Here is an 18,055-nt window from a genome sequence, read left to right on the forward strand (position 1 = left end):
TCCATTCCTCCATGCATCCATGCACCCATCCATCCATTCACCCATGCATTCATTCATTCATTCATTCATTCATTCATTCATTCTTTCCTCCATGCATTCATCCATGCCTCCTTCCTTCCCTCCCTCACTGCCTCCTCCCACCCATCCATATCAGAGATCAGGGACAAACAAGAGTTCTCTTAGAGAATATAGCCACTGTTGTGGGAGTCAAGAAACGGGAGGCATTTTTTTCTACCTGAGGAAAGTTAGAAAGGCTTCCCAGAGAAAGTGACATGTGATTTAGGCCTTAAAAATAAAGATGGAGCTTACCATGTGGTTAAAACAGGAAAGAGGAGGCCAAGCAGAGGGAATGGGTACCACGGTGGTTAGAAAGATAATTTTAGGTGGTGCATATATAAGCATTTAAAATATTTAATAGTTATGTATCAATTTAATGTGTACTATAAAAATGTTAACTCACTGCTCAGGTCAGTGAGTTCTTGGCTAGCATGGCTGCAGATGGAACGTGGTATTCCTGTGCCCGTGCAGTGGGTGGAGTGGGCATCTGTCCCCTGCCCCAGGTAGTGCCCACCTCAGGGTCAGACCACTAGGGCTGAAGTCCTCCTTCATCCTCAGCCCCAGGGAAGCCCTTTCCTTATCTCCCCACCAGCCCGAGAGAGCGAGAATGTGGGGAGAAGCCTGAAGCTGGGCCTCCCAGTGGAGGCCCCGCAGGCCCCCCTCCCAGCACCCGAGGCTCCTTGGCCCCAGCGGCTGGTGGGGACGGCTGCAATGTGGGAGCGGGAGAGCAGGGCTGTGAGGGGCTGCCAGAGCCAAGCAGCCAGGCGCTTGGATTACAAACTTGGCTGCATCTTCGGAACACAGGGAGAGGAAGTCTTGAACATTCCTGCAGGGGACCCTCTGGCCCAGGGAGCGGCCACTTGTGGTTTCTCAGTATGTGGCAGTGATTAGAATGGGATTTGTCTGAAAACATACAAGTCCCTTAATGAGTGTGTTGAAATGGACACTTTGGGGGAGAGTCAAGGAACAGTGGAGTGGGGTGGGGGCCTCCCCAGACAGGCCCATCTGGAGACACCCGGGCCCCATTCCTGGATAAGATCACACTGGTGAAAACGCCGGCGTCTAAGTGGCCATCCTGCCTGTCCTCAGGAGGGTCCTTGGGAAACTACATTGCACTGTCCCCATCTCAACAGGTGCTGGAGCAGCCGGAGTCCTCCCTGGTGTTGGAGGGGCTGGTGTTCCTGGCGTGCCTGGGGCAATTCCTGGAATTGGAGGCATCGCAGGTAACATCTGTCCCAGCAGGGGGCGGGTGTGTCCTTGAGATGGCCACAGGGCAAGGACCTCACCCTCTGTGGCTGTGTTTTCAGGCGTTGGGACTCCAGCTGCAGCTGCAGCTGCAGCAGCAGCCGCTAAGGCAGCCAAGTATGGTGAGTGCCTCCCGGGGTGGCAAGTCCACGGCTCGGGCCCCTGCATAGACCTCGGAGACCCTAGCCGCAAAGCCAGATGGACTTGGCCTTTGTTCCTTCCCAAATATGCATTGTTCATGCCTCCTTACCTTTGCCCCTTCTGATCACTCTACCTGAGATGCCATCTCTATTGTTTTGCCCTGATTAACTCAGCAGAGGGAGGGGACCCTGCAGAGGGGACATGGCTCCTCCCACTCCATCCCCTCCAGGGCCAGCCCACAGGTGTCTGCTGCATCAACTAAATGGGTGCCCAGTGGTGAGAATTCTGACTGTGCTTTAGGAATAGATCACATTCTAGCTATGCACAGTGGCTCACGCCTGTAATCCCAACAATTTGGGAGGCTAAAACCAGGAGTTTGAGACCAGCCTGAGCAACATACTGAGACCCCATCTTTCCAAAAAGTATTTAAAAATTATCTAGGCATGGTGGCACATGCCTGTGGTCCCAGCCACCTGCAAGGCTGAGGTGAGAGGATTGCTTGAGCCTAGTAGTTCAAGGCTGCAGTGAGCTATGATCATGCCACTGCACTCCAGCCTGGGTAAGTGAGAATTTGGTTCAAAAAAAAAGGAAAGAGAGACAGAAAGAGAGAGACAGGAAGGAAGGAAGGAAGGAAGGAAAGAAGGAAGGAAGGAAGGAAAGACGGAAGGAAGGAAGGAAGGAAGGAAGGGAGGGAGGGAGGGAAGGAAGGAAATGAAGGAAGGGAGGGAGGGAGAGAGAGAGGCAGGAAGGAAAGAAAGGAAGAAACAAAAGAGAGAAAGAGAAAGAAAGAAAGGGAAAGGAAGGAAGGAAGGAAAAAGAAAAGAGGGAGGGAGGGAGAGAGAGAGAGGGAGGGAGAGAGAAAGAAAGAAAGAGAGAGAGAGAGAGAGAAAGAAAGAAAGAAAGAGAAAGGAAGGAAAGAAAAGAAAAGAAAAAGAAAGAGATCACATTCCTCCAGCTCACTGATTCAAATCCTAGAGCTCTTTAGGGACCCTCTTAGTCTCTCCACATCTCTCTGATGAGTAGGATCCATGCAGAGGAAATGTCAACCCACCTGCAATCCTGCATTCAGGACCAACTGTCACTTCCATACTCTACTAACCACCCTTCTAGCCCCTCTGAGGTTCCCATAGGTTAGGGGAACAATGCTTTTTCTTCCACAGGAGCTGCTGCAGGCTTAGTGCCTGGTGGGCCAGGCTTTGGCCCGGGAGTAGTTGGTGTCCCAGGAGCTGGCGTTCCAGGTGTTGGTGTCCCAGGAGCTGGGATTCCAGTTGTCCCAGGTGCTGGGATCCCAGGTGCTGCGGTTCCAGGTGAGCTGGGCTGTGTGTGTGTGTGTGTGTGTGTGTGTGTGTGTGTGTGTATTAGAGAGAAATATTGAGACTATTGCCAAAATTTTTGCATTCTCCCTAACACCATAACCATCTGCCCATACCCTTGACCACGTCTCATCCCCTCATCTTCTCTTCCTTGGGCTATACCAATCTCCTTATTAGCTTCTAATCAGTATCATATTTTCCAATTGACCTTCTGGCTATCAGTGTTCTCTGGGGGGCAGGAACCGTGTCTTTTTCAACTCCATGTTCCTAGCCCTTAGCTGAGTAGGTGTTCAGTTTATGGTGGATAAAACGGTAAGTGGGTGGATAGATGGATAAGTGGATGAATGGGTGGGTGGATGAATGAATGGATGGATAGATGGGTGGGTGGATGGATGGATGGGTGGATGGGTGGGTGGATGGATGGATGGGTGGATGGGTGGGTGGATGGATGGATGGATGGATGAATAAGTGGATGGATGAATGGGTGGATAGATGGGTAGGTGAGTGGATGTGTGGGTGGATGGGTGTGGGATGGATAGGTGAGTGGATGGATGGGGGCATGGATGGATGGGAGGATGGATGGAAGAATGGATGAATGGGTAGATGGATGAGGGATGGATGGATGGGAGGCTGAATGAAAGAACGGGTGGATGAATGGGTAGATGGGTGGATGAATGAGCACATGGTTGGAGGGGCAGATGAATAGACGGGTGGGTGGAATGGTGGGCAAGCAAATGCAAAATGGATGGTTGGCTAGATGGTTAGATGAATGGATAGATAGGCAGATGGGATAAGTTGGCAGATAGATGAGTGGACAGAGAGTTAGGTGGTTGGGTGGGTGGATTGATATCCAAGGATAGACAAATGGACAGCCGGGAGCAGTGGCTCACGCCTATAATCTCAGCACTTTGGGAGGCCAAGGTGGGCGGATCACCTGAGGTGAGGAGTTCGAGACCAGCCTGGCCAATATGGTGAAATCCCATCTCCACTAAAAATAGAAAAAAATTAGCCAGGCATGGTGGTGGGTGCCTGTAATCCTAGCTACTTGGGAGGCTGAGGCAGGAGAAGTGCTTGAACCGGGGAGGCGGAGATTGCAGTGAGCTGAGATCGCGCTATTGCACTCCAGCCTGGGTGACAAGATTGAGACTCCATCTCAAAAAAAAAAAAAAAGACAAATGGACAGGTATAGAGGTGGGTCATTAGGTAGATGGATGATGGGGGTGGCTGGGTATACAGATGGGCAGGTGGGTGGACATCAGTGCATAAATGGATGTGTAGCCAACTCTATGTTGGCATGAAAGGAGATGGCCCAACACACAGATGGGTAGACAGAGGGATACATACTACACAGCTCTCCTCCAATCTCTCCTGAGCATTTGTGTCCCTTTTGGTCTCTCCAGGGGTTGTGTCACCAGAAGCAGCTGCTAAGGCAGCTGCAAAGGCAGCCAAATACGGTGAGTGCTATGCTGACAGCTCTGCCCCACCCTGTCCTGGCCTTTACTTGCCAGAACTAAAGGACCCTCCTCTACTTGCCCAGAGAAGGGAAGTGACTTGCCCAAGGTCACCGAGCAAGTCACCAGCAGGCCTCAGGACAATGTCTCCCCCATTTGTCTCCCACCACAGGGCCATGGGGCTGAGTGGCGGGAAAGTCCCAGGATGGCATTCCCAGTGGGGACAGTGACCCTGAGCTTCCCTGCTCTGGCCAAGGCCCTCTCAGAGGAGCCCAAAACTGCCTGGGGATGTGGATTCTGCCAATAGTCTCTCTGCATCCAACAAAGGGGGTCTTCCCGAAGTGCTCAGAGAGGAGAGGGGCCAGAGGAGGACTGAAGAGTGTCAGTAAAGGGCTGGGTGCAGTGGCTTACACCTGTAATCCCAGCAATTTGGGAGACCAAGGTAGGAGGATTGCTTGAGGCCAGGAATTAGAGACCAGCATGGGCAAAATAGCAAGACCCTGTCTCTACATAAAATGCAAAAATTAGCTGGGCATAGTGGCATGTGCTTGTTTGTTCCAGCTACTTGGGAGGTCAAGGCAGGAGGATTGCTTGAGGCCAGGAGTTTGAGACCAGCCTGGGCAACATAGCAAGACCCCATAAATAAAATAAAAATAAAAATAAAAAATAAAATAAATAAAAAATAAATGAAAAATTTTAATTTTTTTTTCTTTTTCTTTTTCTTTTTTTCTGAGATAGAGTCTCACTCTGTCGCCCAGGCTGGAGTGCAGTGGCATGATTTTGGCTCACTGCAATCTCTGCATCCCAGGTTCAAGCAATTCTCATGCATCAGCCTCCCAAGAAGCTGGGATTACAGACATGCACCACCATGCCTGGCTAATTTTTGTATTTTCAGTAGAGACAGGGTTTTGCCTTGTTGGCCAGGCTGGTCTCGAACTCCTGGACTCAAATGATCCACCTGCCTCGTGGATCCCAAAGTGCTGGGATTATGGGCATGAGCCACTGCACCCGGCCAAAAAAAAGAAATTTTTTTTTTTTGAGACGGAGTCTTGCTCTGTCACCCAGGCTGGAGTGCAGTGGCGTGATCTCCGCTCACTGCAAGCTCCACCTTCTGGGTTCAAGTGATTCTCCTACCTCAGCCTCCCATATAACTGGGATTACAGGTGCCCGCCACCACGCCCGGCTAATTTTTGTATTTTTAGTAGAGATGGGGTTTCACCATATTGGCCAGGCTGGTCTCGAACTCCTGACCTCAGGTGATCCACCTGCCTCAGCCTCCCAAAGTGCTAGGATTACAGGCATGAGCCACTGCACCCGGCCCCACATTTTTTTTAAAGGCTTCATGGTGGAGGTGCTGGGGACCCAGGCATCCCAGTTTTCTGTCTTTTATGGACAAGGCCTGGGGGAAATTTACATCCTCTTTCCCAATCCATCAGCATCCCTCAGAGCCCGCCCAGCCTCTCTCACTGAGCTTCTTTTCTACTTGGCTCCCTTCCCTCTGCAGGGGCCAGGCCCGGAGTCGGAGTTGGAGGCATTCCTACTTACGGGGTTGGAGCTGGGGGCTTTCCCGGCTTTGGTGTCGGAGTCGGAGGTATCCCTGGAGTCGCAGGTGTCCCTGGTGTCGGAGGTGTTCCCGGAGTCGGAGGTGTCCCGGGAGTTGGCATTTCCCGTGAGCCTTAGTCACACCTGGGGACATGGGTTGAGAAGGGATGGGGGCTTCTTGTCTGCTCGGCTCTGCAGGGGCAGTGGGGACTGTAGATCGGGCTTGAATGTGCTCAGGGAGGAGTTGGGGGAGAAGAAGGGAGGTCGTATCCATGCCTTACAGGGCAGAAGAGCTTTAAACACGGCTCGGAGGAGACCCAGGCACGGCTTCTGAGGGTCTCTTTCTTTCTCGTTTCCTTGTAGCCGAAGCTCAGGCAGCAGCTGCCGCCAAGGCTGCCAAGTACGGTAAGTGCCCCTGCCCTGCCTGTCCCCAAGTCCTGCTCTCCCGCGGGGCTCAGGGTCCAACCTCAGGGCAAACTGGCTCCCAGGCCTCCAGGACTGAAATGGCCTGGACCAAGGTCACGAGGCCCCTGCCCCATCTTCCAAAGCCACACTCCACTCTTACTGTCCTTTTCAGATGCCCCCTGTTAGGACTGTTGGTCACTGGCTCATCACCCCACCCCCCACCCCCAGAATTGAAGGTGTCTGGCAGGGTTGGGTGGCTGATGCCTGTAATCCCAGCACTTTGGGAGGCCAAGGCAGGTGGATCCCTTGAGGCCAGGAGTTCGAGACCAGCCTGGCCAATATGGTGAAATGCTGTCTGTACTAAAAATACAAAAATTAGCTGGGCATGGTGGCGGGCACCTATAGTCCCAGCTACTTGGGAGGCTGAGGCAGGAGAATGGCTTGAACCCGGGAGGTAGAGGCTGCAGTGAGCAGAGATTATACCATTGCACTCCAGCCTGGGTGACAGAGCAAGACTCCAACTCTAAAAATAAAAAAAAAAGAAAAAGAAAAAGAATTGAAGGTGCCAGGAAGCCATTCTCTTCTTCCTCCGATTCTCCCACCCACCCTTGCTCCCCCAAAAAGTGAGTACTGGGAGGGGCAAGGCTGAAAGTTCTCCACTCCCCGAGGTGCTGCAGGAGCAGGAGTGCTGGGTGGGCTAGTGCCAGGTGCCCCAGGCGCAGTCCCAGGTGTGCCGGGCACGGGAGGAGTGCCAGGTGAGCTGTGTCTCCAGCCCAGAGATGGGTTTGGTTTGTCTCATGGAAGGGTCCCTGGAGTTGACCAAGGTCGACTGCACCATTTTACAAATGGGAAGACTGAGCCTAGAGATGGGAAGCAGGGAGGGGTGTGAGAGATTACTCTCTCACCCCTTCTCTTCACACCTCCAGGAGTGGGGACCCCAGCAGCTGCAGCTGCTAAAGCAGCCGCCAAAGCCGCCCAGTTTGGTAAGTCCCCCTCACCCCCGCCACTGGCTCACGGAGAACTGCTTTCTCCTGTGCCCTGCTCTGGGGTCTGACCGCCCAGCTTCCTGTTCCTTTCCACCCCACTTAAGCTGTCACATTCTGGGGTGGGCCCTCCTTAGACCTTTTGGCCCACTGATGAATGACCTCTAGGAGTGTGGGTGATGTTTCTGATTAGGGGAGCAGGGTGAGCAGTGTGAGCCTCCCTGTTCCTAAAGCCCCTGGTGCCTCCCAGGCTATTGGGGACCTGACCTCATGCTGAGCTCCAGCTCCCCTTGAGGGACTCCAGTTCTCCCCCTTCTCCTTCTCTTTCTCCTTCTCCTTCTTCTTCTTGTGCTCCTCTTCCTTCTTCTTCTTCTTCTTTCTTCTCCTCCTCCTCCTTCTCCTTCTCCCTCCTCCTCCTTCTCATTCTTCTTCTTCTCCTTCCTCTTCTTCTCCTCCTGCTTCTTTTCCTTCTCCTCCCTCTTCCTCCTCCTCCTGCTTCTCCTTTCTTCTCCTTCTTCTTCTTTCTTCTTCTTCTTCCTCTTTTTCTCCTTCTTTCTTCTTCTTTCTCCTTCTTCTTCTTCTTCCTCTGCTTCTTTCTCCTCCTTCTTCTCTTCTCTTCCGTCTTTCTTCTCCTCCTTTTCCTCCTTCTTCTTTCTTCTCCTTCTCCTTTTTTCTTGAGATAGGGTCTAGCTCTGTCACCCAGGATGGGGTACAGTGCCACAATCATAGCTCACTACAGCCTCAACCTCCCAGTCTCAAGCAGTCTGCCTGCTTCCGCCCCCCAAGAGCTGAGACCACAGGTGCCCACCACCATGCCTGGCTAATTTTTTAATTTTTTTGTAGCGACAGCGGTCTCACTATGTTGCTCAGGCTGGTCTCAAACTCCTAGGCTAAAGCGATCCTCCTGCCTCTGCCTCCCAAAGTCCTGGGATTACAGGCGTGAGCCACCACACCCGGCCTGCAGTACTTCTTGTTCCCCATCTCTTGCTACATTTGAGGGCCACCCTGGCAGCCCCAGGTGCCCACACTTTTCTGAACATGGCAAATCGTGGCAGCACCAATTGTAGAGCTCAACTGTATGTCAGGCCCTGGGCATGGGGTCTGTAGGCCTTGGCCCTAGGGACCTGTGGGCTGAAAGGTTCAGATCAGAATCTCTAGGACTGAATAGGCCAGAGAGCATTTCGACTGCAGGTCTGCTGAGCCCCATATTCTCACACACAGCAATCTTTATTATTTATTTATTTGAGACGGGGTCTCACATTGTCGCCCAGGTTGGAGTGCAGTGATGCCGTCAGCTCGCCGCAGGCCTCAAACTCCTAGCTTAAGCCATTATTCCCCCTTAGTATCCCTAGTAGCTGGGGCTACAGTCACATGCCACCATGCCCAGTTTAAAAAAAAAAAAAATTGTATGCGATCCTCCCACATTGGCCTCTCAAAGTGCTGGGATGACAGGCATGAGCCAACGTGTCTGGCCTACAAAAATCTTACAGAGTTGATTTTATTTTTCCCATTTTACAGATGTGGAAACTGAGGTTCCCAGAGCTTAAGTAACTTGCCTACAGTTGCACAGCTAAATGGTGGCTGAGCTGAGATTTGAACCCAAAGCCTTTCTGTCTTACAAAGTCCCTTATATAATGTAAATCTGCCTCCATCAGCCTCAAATCTCCAAGGGGTCCTTGTCACTGAAAAGGTTAAGAACTCCTGGCCAAATGCAGCAGCTCACAACTATAATCCCAGAACTTTGGGAGGCCAAGTCGGGTGGATCACCCAAGGTCAGGAGTTTAAGACCAGCCTGGCCAACATGGTGAAACCCTGTCTCTACTAAAAATACAAAAAAATTAGCCGGGCATGGTGGTGCGCACCTGTAGTCCCAGCTACTCAGGAGGCTGAGGCAGGAGACTCACTTGAACTCGGGAGGTGGTGGTTGCAGTGAGTCGAGATCACGCCATTGCACTCCAGCCTGGGCGATAGAGTGAGACTCTGTCTCCAAAAAAACAAAGTTATGAACTCCTGAGCCTGCACACACTTCATATTAGGGAGGAGGAAGCTGAGGCCCAGCAAGGGAAAGTAACTGATCCAGGGTCACACAGCAAATCTATGCCAGGGCCGAGGCTCCAGCCCTCTTTCCATAAGCTTCTGTCCTCTTTGATCAGGTCTTGGTTAATGATCAGCTCTTCTCAATCTTGCAGGGTTAGTTCCTGGTGTCGGCGTGGCTCCTGGAGTTGGCGTGGCTCCTGGTGTCGGTGTGGCTCCTGGAGTTGGCTTGGCTCCTGGAGTTGGCGTGGCTCCTGGAGTTGGTGTGGCTCCTGGCGTTGGCGTGGCTCCCGGCATTGGCCCTGGTGGAGTTGCAGGTGAGTTTCATGAGTCAATGAGCCTGAGGGGCCCCCGAAGCCTCCATGGGCCCCGCCTCCATCTCTAATCCCCCTCTCTCTCCCTCCCTCAGCTGCAGCAAAATCCGCTGCCAAGGTGGCTGCCAAAGCCCAGCTCCGTGAGTGCCTCGCCCACCTTTCTCTCCTCTCCCCAACGATCTCAGAGCTGGTTAGGGGCAACAGCCAGGGAGGAGGCCGCTGCTTGGATCTGGGCCCCTTCCTCTGGGACTAGGCTCAGCTCCCTGGGCAGGACACCTCCTTAGGGGCATGCTCCCTGCCTGCTGTCGCCACCACTGCCCTCTGTCTGCAGGAGCTGCAGCTGGGCTTGGTGCTGGCATCCCTGGACTTGGAGTTGGTGTCGGCGTCCCTGGACTTGGAGTTGGTGCTGGTGTTCCTGGACTTGGAGTTGGTGCTGGTGTTCCTGGCTTCGGGGCAGGTGCAGATGAGGGAGTTAGGCGGAGCCTGTCCCCTGAGCTCAGGGAAGGAGATCCCTCCTCCTCTCAGCACCTCCCCAGCACCCCCTCATCACCCAGGGGTGCATAGTAAAATCCTTGTTAGGTTCTCCTAAGCATCTGGGGGTAACAGATAGCGGGAGGAGGGCAGACCAGGCCAAGGGACCCCAGGCTGCCCAATTGCAGAGTATCTGCCTCCTCAGTAGAGGGGTGGCAGGGCTCCAGACTGAGAAAAAGCCTGCCCTCCAACCAGGGAAGGAGCAGGTAGATCAGCCTGGCTCCCCTTCAGCAGTGCTCTGTGGCCAGGGGACCACTAGGAACTCCAGTTCTTCACCAGCTGGTGACTGAGCCCCACTCTGTGCCCAGCCTCAGGCAGTCCATGCTAGGCCTGGGGAGAGAAGGAAGGGGCAGACGGAAGGTGGAGGCACTGTTCAGCCCTAAAGCTCTGTGCCTGTACAGCTTCAGGGCTTTGAGGAAGCAATAGAGGCCAAGGAAGTCAGGGAGGGCTCTCTAGAGGAGGCGGCAGAACTCCCAGGCACAGAGCTCGGCTCCTGACCACTCCCCAACTTTTCTTTCTCCCCAGTACCTGGAGCCCTGGCTGCCGCTAAAGCAGCCAAATATGGTGAGTGCACCCCACAACCACTTGTGGCTCCCTTGCCACCACACCATCCCTGACAGCACAGGACTGGGGTGGTCACAATAGAAAAAGGCAGTTTCGGCCGGGCGTGGTGGCTCACACCTGTAATCCCAGCACTTTGGGAGGCCGAGGCAGGCAGATCACCTGAGGTCAGGAGTTCCAGACCAGCCTGAACAATATGGTTAAACCCCATCTCTACTAAAAATTCAAAAATTAGCCAGGCGTGGTGGCGGGCACCTGTAATCCCAGCACTTTGGGAGGCCGAGGTGGGCAGATCAACTGAGGTCGGGGGTTCCAGACCAGCCTGACCAATATGGTGAAACCCCATCTCTACTAAAAACACAAAAATTAGCCAGGTGTGGTGGCGGGCACCTGTAATCCCAGCTACTCGGGAGGCTGAGGCAGGAGAATCGCTTGAACCCAGGAGATGGAGGTTGCAGTGAGCCGAGATCACGCCACTGCACTCCGGCCTGGACGACAGAGCGAGACTGTATCTCAAAAAAAGAAAAGAAAAGAAAAAGAAAAAGGCAGTTTCTAGGACACGTTTATGACAGTTTAAAAACCTGGCCCCTGCCCACTAAATGCTTATGGTGCCTTCAACCCCTGTGACCACCAAAAACACCCTTGAAATCCCAGTTGCCCCCCAGGAGGCAATTCCACCATCCCTAAGCTTGCCCTGACCCTGACAGTTACATGGTCCCTGTGTCCAGGAAGGGACTGGGCCTGCTGTGGGTATGAGGAGTCTGGGCAGTCTCTGCCTCCACCCCAGCTCTCTGGCCCGAGCAAAGGAGCTGGTATTCCTCATCTGGGCACCCCGGGCCCCCGCCCGCCTTCCTGTCCTGCCAGCAGGACCGCTCCCACCACGAGCCAGCCCAGAGGACGTGGCAGTCCCACAGCCTCTGCACTTGGCGCTCTGGCAGCCCTGCCTGGCCAGACCCACGCTGTCTGTAGCCCCTGAATTCCTGGCCTCCTGTGAGCAGCGTTGGTGGGAGGTGGAAGACTCCCCCAGGGATCCACCAACCAGCCGGGCAGGTCCACTTGGGGCCAGTTTCTACCTCGGAAAATCCTGGCTTCCTCAGCGCCGACCCCCAGCAGCCCTGGCCTCCTCCCCTGCTCACTGCTGACTGCTTGGCAGGCCTGAGTCAACAGACATTGCCAGGGAAACAGAGTGACGTCATGTGGTGGAGCCGCGAAGGGCGCAGGCTCCCCAGCCACTTCCCGTCCCTGAAGCCCTGAGCACACTGCTTAACCTCTGCTCTGCCTCAGCGTTCTCATCTGCAAAATGGGAATGACAATAGTGCCTACCTTTCCTGCTGCAATGCATAAAAAATGGGCTGCTAAGTGTGAAGCACTCAAAATGTTAAGTGCCTGCTGTAGATACTATTACCGTTGTTTGTTTGTTTGTTTGTTTGTTTTGACAGAGTCTTGCTCTGTCGCCCAGGCTGGAATGCAGTGGTACGATCTTGGCTCCCTGCAGCCTCCATCTCCCGGGTTCAAGTGATTCTCCTGCCTCAGCCTTCCAAGTAGCTGGGATTACAGGCGCCCGCCACCACGCCTGGCTAATTTTTGTATTTTTCGTAGAAACAGGGTTTCACCGTGTTGGCCAGGCTGGTCTCAAACTCCTGACCTCAGGTGATCCACTAGCCTCAGCCTCCCAAAGTGCTGGGATTACAGGTGTGAGCCACCGCACCCGGCTTACAAAAGAACTTTTAAGGCCAGGCACAGTGGTTCACACCTTCGGGAGGCTAAGGCAGGAGGATCGCATGAGCCCAGGAGTTGGAGGCTGCAGTGAACTATGATTGTACCACTGCACTCCAGCCGGGGTGACAGAGCAAAACCCCATCTCAAAATGAAACAAAATATGGACTGGACTTCCTGTCCACTGCTCCTCCACAGTGTCACATGGCCCCTGCCACCTGTCTGCTTGCCTTGTGTCCCTGGGGCAGGGAGACCCATCGTTCAGAAATGGAACACTCATTTTCCCTCCTCTCCCCGCAGGAGCAGCAGTGCCTGGGGTCCTTGGAGGGCTCGGGGCTCTCGGTGGAGTAGGCATCCCAGGCGGTGTGGTGGGTGAGTTGAAACCCCAGGAGGGGCAGGGTGGGGAGGGAATCTAACCAGTACAGAGTGCCTCCCTGAACTCGGTCTGTGTTCCCAGGAGCCGGACCCGCCGCCGCCGCTGCCGCAGCCAAAGCTGCTGCCAAAGCCGCCCAGTTTGGTGAGCACTGGGTGGAGGTGGGAGCTGCCGCCAGGCCCCCAGGCCCCCAGGGTGTGGGAGGAGCTTCTGACCAGGCACTGTAGACTCAGAGTCCCTGCCCCAGACACCTCCTGGCTCCACTGTGCCATCGAAGGCCAGGGGAGACCTCAGGCTCCACCTGTGTCCCCAGAGGACACCTCCGCCCTCCACAGGCCGAGGCTTCAGTCCCACCTTTCTGACCAGCGGAGTCTAATGCTCAGCTGTCTCCACAGGCCTAGTGGGAGCCGCTGGGCTCGGAGGACTCGGAGTCGGAGGGCTTGGAGTTCCAGGTGTTGGGGGCCTTGGAGGTGAGAGTTGTTCTGAAATCAGTGAGTGTGTGTGGTGTGTGTATGCGAGACAGAGATGGAGACAGAGACAGAGACAGAGACTTTCGTTCCCACCCCTGGCACGTCTTTGCTCAAGATGTCCTCTTGGCCAGGTGCGGTGGCTCACGCCTGCAATCCCAGCACTCTAGTAGGCCAAGGTGGGCGGATCACTAGAGGTGAGGAGTTTGAGACCAGCCTGGGTGACATGGCGAAACCTCATCTCTACCAAAAATACAAAAATAAGCCGGGCGTGGTGGTGGGCACCTGTATTTCCAGCTACTTGAGAGGCTGAGGCCAGAGGATCGCTTGAGCCCAGGAGGCAGAGGCTGCAGTGAGCTGAGATGGTACCACTGCATTCCAGCTTGGGCAGCAGAGTGAGACCCTGTCATCTAAAAAAAAAAAAGAAAGAAAGAAAAGAAAAGAGGCCAGGCATGGTGGCTCACGCCTGTGATCCCAGCACTTTGGGAGGCTGAGGTGGGCAGATCACGAGGTCAGATCAAGACCATCCTGGCTAACACAGTGAAACCCCGTCTCTACTAAAAATACAAAAAATTAGCTGGGCGTGGTGGCAGACGCCTGTAGTCCCAGCTACTCAGGAGGCTGAGGCAGAAGAATGGCGTGAACCTGGGAGGCGGAGCTTGCAGTGAGCCGAGATCGCGCCACTGCACTCCAGCCTGGGCGACAGAGCGAGACTCCGTCTCAAAAAAAAAATATATATATATATATATATATGTATGTATGTATGTATATAAATTAGCTGGGCATGGTGACACACGCCTGTAATCCCAGCTACTCGGGAGCCTGAGACAGGAGAATCACTTGAACCCAGGAGGCAGAAGTTGCAGTGAGCCAAGATCACGCCGCTGCACTCCAGCCTGAGCAACAGAGCAAGACCTCATCCCAAAACAAAATAAAAACAAGAAATGTGGCAAACGGGAGCTGGGGCTATCCCTTGCCGCCAGGGTCCCAGTCCTCCCCCTCTCCTCTCTCTTTCAACCCACCTGACCACTGCGGTGGGAGTAAATTAGGAGAATGATGGTTATGCCAGTTCTCCAAGAAAGAAATCAAAGCTTGGAGAGAAATTGCTTTCCCTAAGTCTCCACCATGGTGGCCGACCTTGTGTGGCCATTTCCCCCTTTCTTGGGCTGTCATTGTGTCTCCCCCTGTAAACTAGCCTGCACAGCTCTTCCTGTGAGTGCCACAAGACCAGACACACAGTAGGAGCTTAACAATTAAGACTTTTGGGGCCGGGCATGGTGGCTCATGCCTGTAATCCCAACACTTTGGGAGGCTTAGGTAGGTGGATTGCTTGAGGCCAGGAGTTCAAGACCAGCCTGGACAATGTAGCAAGACCCCCCCCCACCACCACCTCTACGAAATATTTAAAAATTAGCTGGGCGTGGTGTGTGCCTGTAGTTTCAGCTACTTGGGAGGCTGAGGCAGGAAGATCACTTGAACCCGGGAGTTCAGGGCTGCAGTGAGCTGTGATCAAGCCACTGCATTCCAGCCTGGGCAACAGAGCAAGAAGCTGGATAGATGAAGGAGAGATGGGGGGATAGACTGGGAGGATGAGTCCATGGGCAGACGGTAAAGGGTGAGTAGGTCAGAAGACAGGGCCTAGCCAGGTGCAGTGGCTCACACCTGTAATGTCAGCACTTTGGGAGGCCGAGGCAGGTGGATCACCTGAGGTCAGGAGTTCGCGACCAGCCTGGCCAACATGGTGAAACCTGTCTCTACTAAAAATACAAAAATTAGCCAGGCGTGGTGGTGGGTGCCTGTAATCCCAGCTGCTCAGGAGGCTGAGGCAGGAGAACCGCTTGAACCCAGGAGATGGAGGTTGCAGTGAGCCGGGATCGCGCCACTGCACTCCAGCCCAGGCGAAGGAGTGAGACTCTGCCTCAAGAAAAAAAAAAAAAAAAAAGACAGGGCCTGACAGGTGGCATTGGCATTCCTGAGCCGTCATGTGCCTCATCTCCCCAGGTATACCTCCAGCTGCAGCCGCTAAAGCAGCTAAATACGGTGAGTTCCCCTCTGATGCCTTCCTGCCAGTGGCCTGCACCCCCTGCCATGCCCATCGCCACCCTCCCCCAGCCCAGCTCAGGCCTCCCTCTGGCTCCCCCTACCCCTGAAGATCTTGTCTGGGACATTCCTTAACCCAGAACCCAGCAGGGATATCAGGGCCTCTTCCCGATGGGGGTGTCTTATCCTGACCCCACCTGCCTCTTCTCAGGTGCTGCTGGCCTTGGAGGTGTCCTAGGGGGTGCCGGGCAGTTCCCACTTGGAGGTAGGGGTGGCCAGCTCTGCTACGTAGTCCTCAGCTCTGTCCCGATCTAGAGGGGGCCTGTCCATCTAGCAGTGGGGACTCCCAGAGCCCATGTCCACACAAGGACAGGAGACTGGGGCTGGTGAGGGCACTTTAGGATTGCAGATGTACTGGGCAAACGGGCAAGCTATAAGGTTGGGGACAGTGCCAGGCTGAGCTCAGGGTTGAGGCCATGAGGTGCCACACCTGGTTGCTAGGTGGCGGCATGTTGTGTTGAGAAAGCCACTCTGGCTGTAGTGAGGGGGATTGGCTGGGCGTGGTGGCTCACGCCTGTAATCCCAGCACTTTGGGAGGCCTAGGTGGGTGGATCACTTGAGGTCAGGAGTTCGAGACCAGTCTGGTCAACATGGTGAAACCCTGTCTCTACTAAAAAAAATGCAAAAATTAGCCAAACGTGGTGGACGCCTGTAATCCCAGCTACTCGGGAGGCTGAGGCGGGAGAATCACTGGAGCCTGGGAAGCGGAGGTTGCAGTGAGCCAAGATCGCACCACTGCACTCCAGCCTGGGTGACAGAGCAAGACCCCATCTCAAAAAAATAATAATAAAATAAAATATAAAAAATTATATAGTGGGGGGGATGGAGAGGAGGTGATCCCAGACAGAGGTCTTGGGTGAGCCAGTGCAGGCAGAAAGTGATGAGGCTGGAGTCAGTTTCCACCCCTACCAACCCACCAACCTGAAATCTCTCCTGCAGGAGTGGCAGCAAGACCTGGCTTCGGATTGTCTCCCATTTTCCCAGGTATGCCAGGCTCCCTGCCCCTGGGCCCTGCCCTGGAGCTGCAGCCACCTCCTCCCTCCTCTCCTGTGCCATCTCCTGCTCAGAAGGGCTGAGCCAGCACCCAGGGGTGGACCCCACAGCCTCAGGTCACACGAGGCTGGACCCCGAGCTGAATGTAGAGCCTCCCCTCCTTCTTGCTGACCTCTTATAAACACAGGGAACATTTGCTTTTTAAAAACACAGTTCATGGCCAGGTGTGATGGCTCACACCTGTAATCCCAGCACTTTGGGAGGCTGAGGAGGGCAGATCACCTGAGGTCAGGAGTTCAAGACCAGCCTGGCCAACATGGCGAAACCCTGTCTCTATTAAAAATACTAAAATTAGCCGGGTGTGGTGGCTCACGCCTGTAATCCCAGCCCTTTGGGAGGCCAAGGCAGGTGGATCACGAGGTCAGGAGATGGAAACCATCCTGGCTGAAACGGTGAAACCCCGTCTCTACTAAAAATACTATAGTCTTCTTTTTTTTTTTGAGATGGAGTCTTGCTCTGTTGCCCAGGCTGGAGTGCAGTGGCACGATCTTGGCTCACTGCAACCTCTGCCTCCTAGGTTCAAGCGATTCTTCTGCCTCAGCCTCCCAAGTAGCTGGGACTACAGGCATACACCACTACGCCCAGCTAATTTTTGTATTTTTAGTAGAGACGGGGTTTCACCATATTGGCCAGGCTGGTCTCGAACTCCTGACCTCGTGATCCGCCCGCCTCGGCCTCCCAAAGTGCTGGGATTACAGGAGTGAGCCACCACGTCCGGCCGTCTCTACTAAAAATACAAAAAATTAGCCGGGCATGGTGGCGGGCACCTGTAGTCTCAGCTACTCGGGAGGCTCACGCAGGAGAATGGTGTGAACCCGGGAGGCGGAGCATGGTGTGAACCCGGGAGGCGGAGCTTGCAGTGAGCCGAGATTGCGCCACTGCACTCCAGCCTGGGCGGCACAGCAAGACTCCGTCTCAAAAAAAAAAAAAAAATTAGCCAGGTGTGGTGGTGCACGCCTGTAATCCCAGCTACTCTGGAGGCTGAGACAGGAGAATTGCTTGAACCCAGGAGGCGGAGGTTGCAGTGAGCTGAGACTACACCACTGCCCTCTAGCCTGGGTGATGACAGGGCAAGACGATTGCGTCTCAAAAAAAAAAAAAAAAAAAAAAAAAAACCTTCAGAGGCAGATGTCTGTTCCTGCCCCACTCTCTGCTCACTGCCACCAGGTGGCGGTAAGGAGCCATATCTGGCTCAAGCAGGGTTAGGAACTGCTCCGGGCCGCGCTACTAGACAATGGTGCCTTACCTAATACAGACTGATGCCTTGAAACAGGGTTCACCCATCAGACTATTCCCAGGAGGGGGTAGGAATCCTGGGTTTGAGTCCCAGCTCAGACACTATGTGGATAAGACCCTCTCTCCCTCTACTGGGCCTTGATTTACTTATCTGATGCCCTCTCAGATGTATGGGTCCACCCCACTCCCTGAGAGGGCCGTCTCCTGCAGACACTGACTCTCCCTTCATCCCATGTTCCTTGATGGAGCTGCTCTTAGCCTTTCCCCGAAAGGCTTCTTGGAGCAGTGGAGCCAGGAGCCAGTGCCAGGCCCCGTCCTTCCCCAGCCAGGCCCCATGACCTGCCCCCTTTTCTGCGAGCGTTGGTTTCATCCAAGTAATATCTTGGGGGCTTCTCCCGCCCCATCTGTCCAGTGGAAGTTGATGGCATGGATCAGGTCTGAGTTTGGCCTGGGGCCATGACTTGGCTTCTCTTGGCTTCTTGGAGCCTCCATTCGAGTGGGTCAGAGCAGGCGGGGATTAGAGCCGAAACTGA

At 54.3% G+C, this 18,055-nt stretch overlaps 1 protein-coding gene and 1 long non-coding RNA gene across 56 annotated transcripts in view, besides 5 other annotated features; one reads left to right on the forward strand and one right to left on the reverse strand.

The window, feature by feature from the left end:
- ELN (elastin) overlaps positions 1–18,055 on the forward strand; it is a 41,735-nt gene that overhangs the window by 22,387 nt on the left and 1,293 nt on the right. For 12 of the 55 annotated variants that reach the window (XM_011515868.3, XM_011515871.3, NM_000501.4 and 9 more), the window contains 17 exons: positions 1,191–1,280; positions 1,365–1,424; positions 2,604–2,750; positions 4,157–4,210; positions 5,712–5,876; positions 6,113–6,154; positions 7,081–7,137; positions 9,327–9,488; positions 9,581–9,625; positions 9,817–9,942; positions 10,542–10,580; positions 12,594–12,665; positions 12,751–12,810; positions 13,062–13,136; positions 15,135–15,173; positions 15,385–15,438; positions 16,173–16,217. In XM_011515868.3, the coding sequence (XP_011514170.1) occupies positions 1,191–1,280; positions 1,365–1,424; positions 2,604–2,750; positions 4,157–4,210; positions 5,712–5,876; positions 6,113–6,154; positions 7,081–7,137; positions 9,327–9,488; positions 9,581–9,625; positions 9,817–9,942; positions 10,542–10,580; positions 12,594–12,665; positions 12,751–12,810; positions 13,062–13,136; positions 15,135–15,173; positions 15,385–15,438; positions 16,173–16,217 (1,332 nt within the window). Of the gene's footprint in view, positions 1–1,190; positions 1,281–1,364; positions 1,425–2,603; positions 2,751–4,156; positions 4,211–5,711; positions 5,877–6,112; positions 6,155–6,822; positions 6,910–7,080; positions 7,138–9,308; positions 9,489–9,580; positions 9,626–9,816; positions 10,042–10,541; positions 10,581–12,593; positions 12,666–12,750; positions 12,811–13,061; positions 13,137–15,134; positions 15,174–15,384; positions 15,439–16,172; positions 16,218–18,055 lie in introns of all 55 variants that reach the window. The other 43 variants (XM_011515873.3, XM_017011814.3, NM_001081755.3 and 40 more) reach the window with 13 other exon arrangements.
- Positions 1,095–1,918: an enhancer, noted in NCBI's record as "H3K4me1 hESC enhancer chr7:73465984-73466807 (GRCh37/hg19 assembly coordinates)". NCBI's record gives its function as "activates a minimal SCP1, AML or CMV promoter by ChIP-STARR-seq in primed H9 embryonic stem cells {active_cell/tissue: H9 hESC(primed)}" and the evidence as "EXISTENCE:reporter gene assay evidence [ECO:0000049][PMID:30033119]".
- Positions 8,346–11,721, reverse strand: ELN-AS1 (ELN antisense RNA 1). Its single transcript, NR_183555.1, has 2 exons — positions 11,651–11,721; positions 8,346–9,473 (listed from the first exon to the last, which is right to left on the reverse strand). It is a non-coding gene; the product is annotated as an ELN antisense RNA 1 (long non-coding RNA).
- Positions 11,055–11,555: an enhancer, noted in NCBI's record as "H3K4me1 hESC enhancer chr7:73475944-73476444 (GRCh37/hg19 assembly coordinates)". NCBI's record gives its function as "activates a minimal SCP1, AML or CMV promoter by ChIP-STARR-seq in primed H9 embryonic stem cells {active_cell/tissue: H9 hESC(primed)}" and the evidence as "EXISTENCE:reporter gene assay evidence [ECO:0000049][PMID:30033119]".
- Positions 11,556–12,056: an enhancer, noted in NCBI's record as "H3K4me1 hESC enhancer chr7:73476445-73476945 (GRCh37/hg19 assembly coordinates)". NCBI's record gives its function as "activates a minimal SCP1, AML or CMV promoter by ChIP-STARR-seq in primed H9 embryonic stem cells {active_cell/tissue: H9 hESC(primed)}" and the evidence as "EXISTENCE:reporter gene assay evidence [ECO:0000049][PMID:30033119]".
- Positions 11,600–11,894: an enhancer, noted in NCBI's record as "tiled region #6518; HepG2 Activating DNase unmatched - State 4:PromP, and K562 Activating DNase unmatched - State 20:ReprD". NCBI's record gives its function as "activates a minimal TATA promoter and a strong SV40 promoter by Sharpr-MPRA in HepG2 and K562 cells {active_cell/tissue: HepG2 | K562}" and the evidence as "EXISTENCE:reporter gene assay evidence [ECO:0000049][PMID:27701403]".
- Positions 11,697–11,889: a silencer, noted in NCBI's record as "fragment chr7:73476586-73476778 (GRCh37/hg19 assembly coordinates)". NCBI's record gives its function as "represses an EF-1alpha promoter that drives an FKBP-Casp9 reporter gene in an ReSE screen in K562 erythroleukemia cells {active_cell/tissue: K562}" and the evidence as "EXISTENCE:reporter gene assay evidence [ECO:0000049][PMID:32094911]".

This window comes from Homo sapiens, chromosome 7, assembly GCF_000001405.40.
Source record: "Homo sapiens chromosome 7, GRCh38.p14 Primary Assembly".
Lineage (NCBI taxonomy): Eukaryota > Metazoa > Chordata > Mammalia > Primates > Hominidae > Homo > Homo sapiens.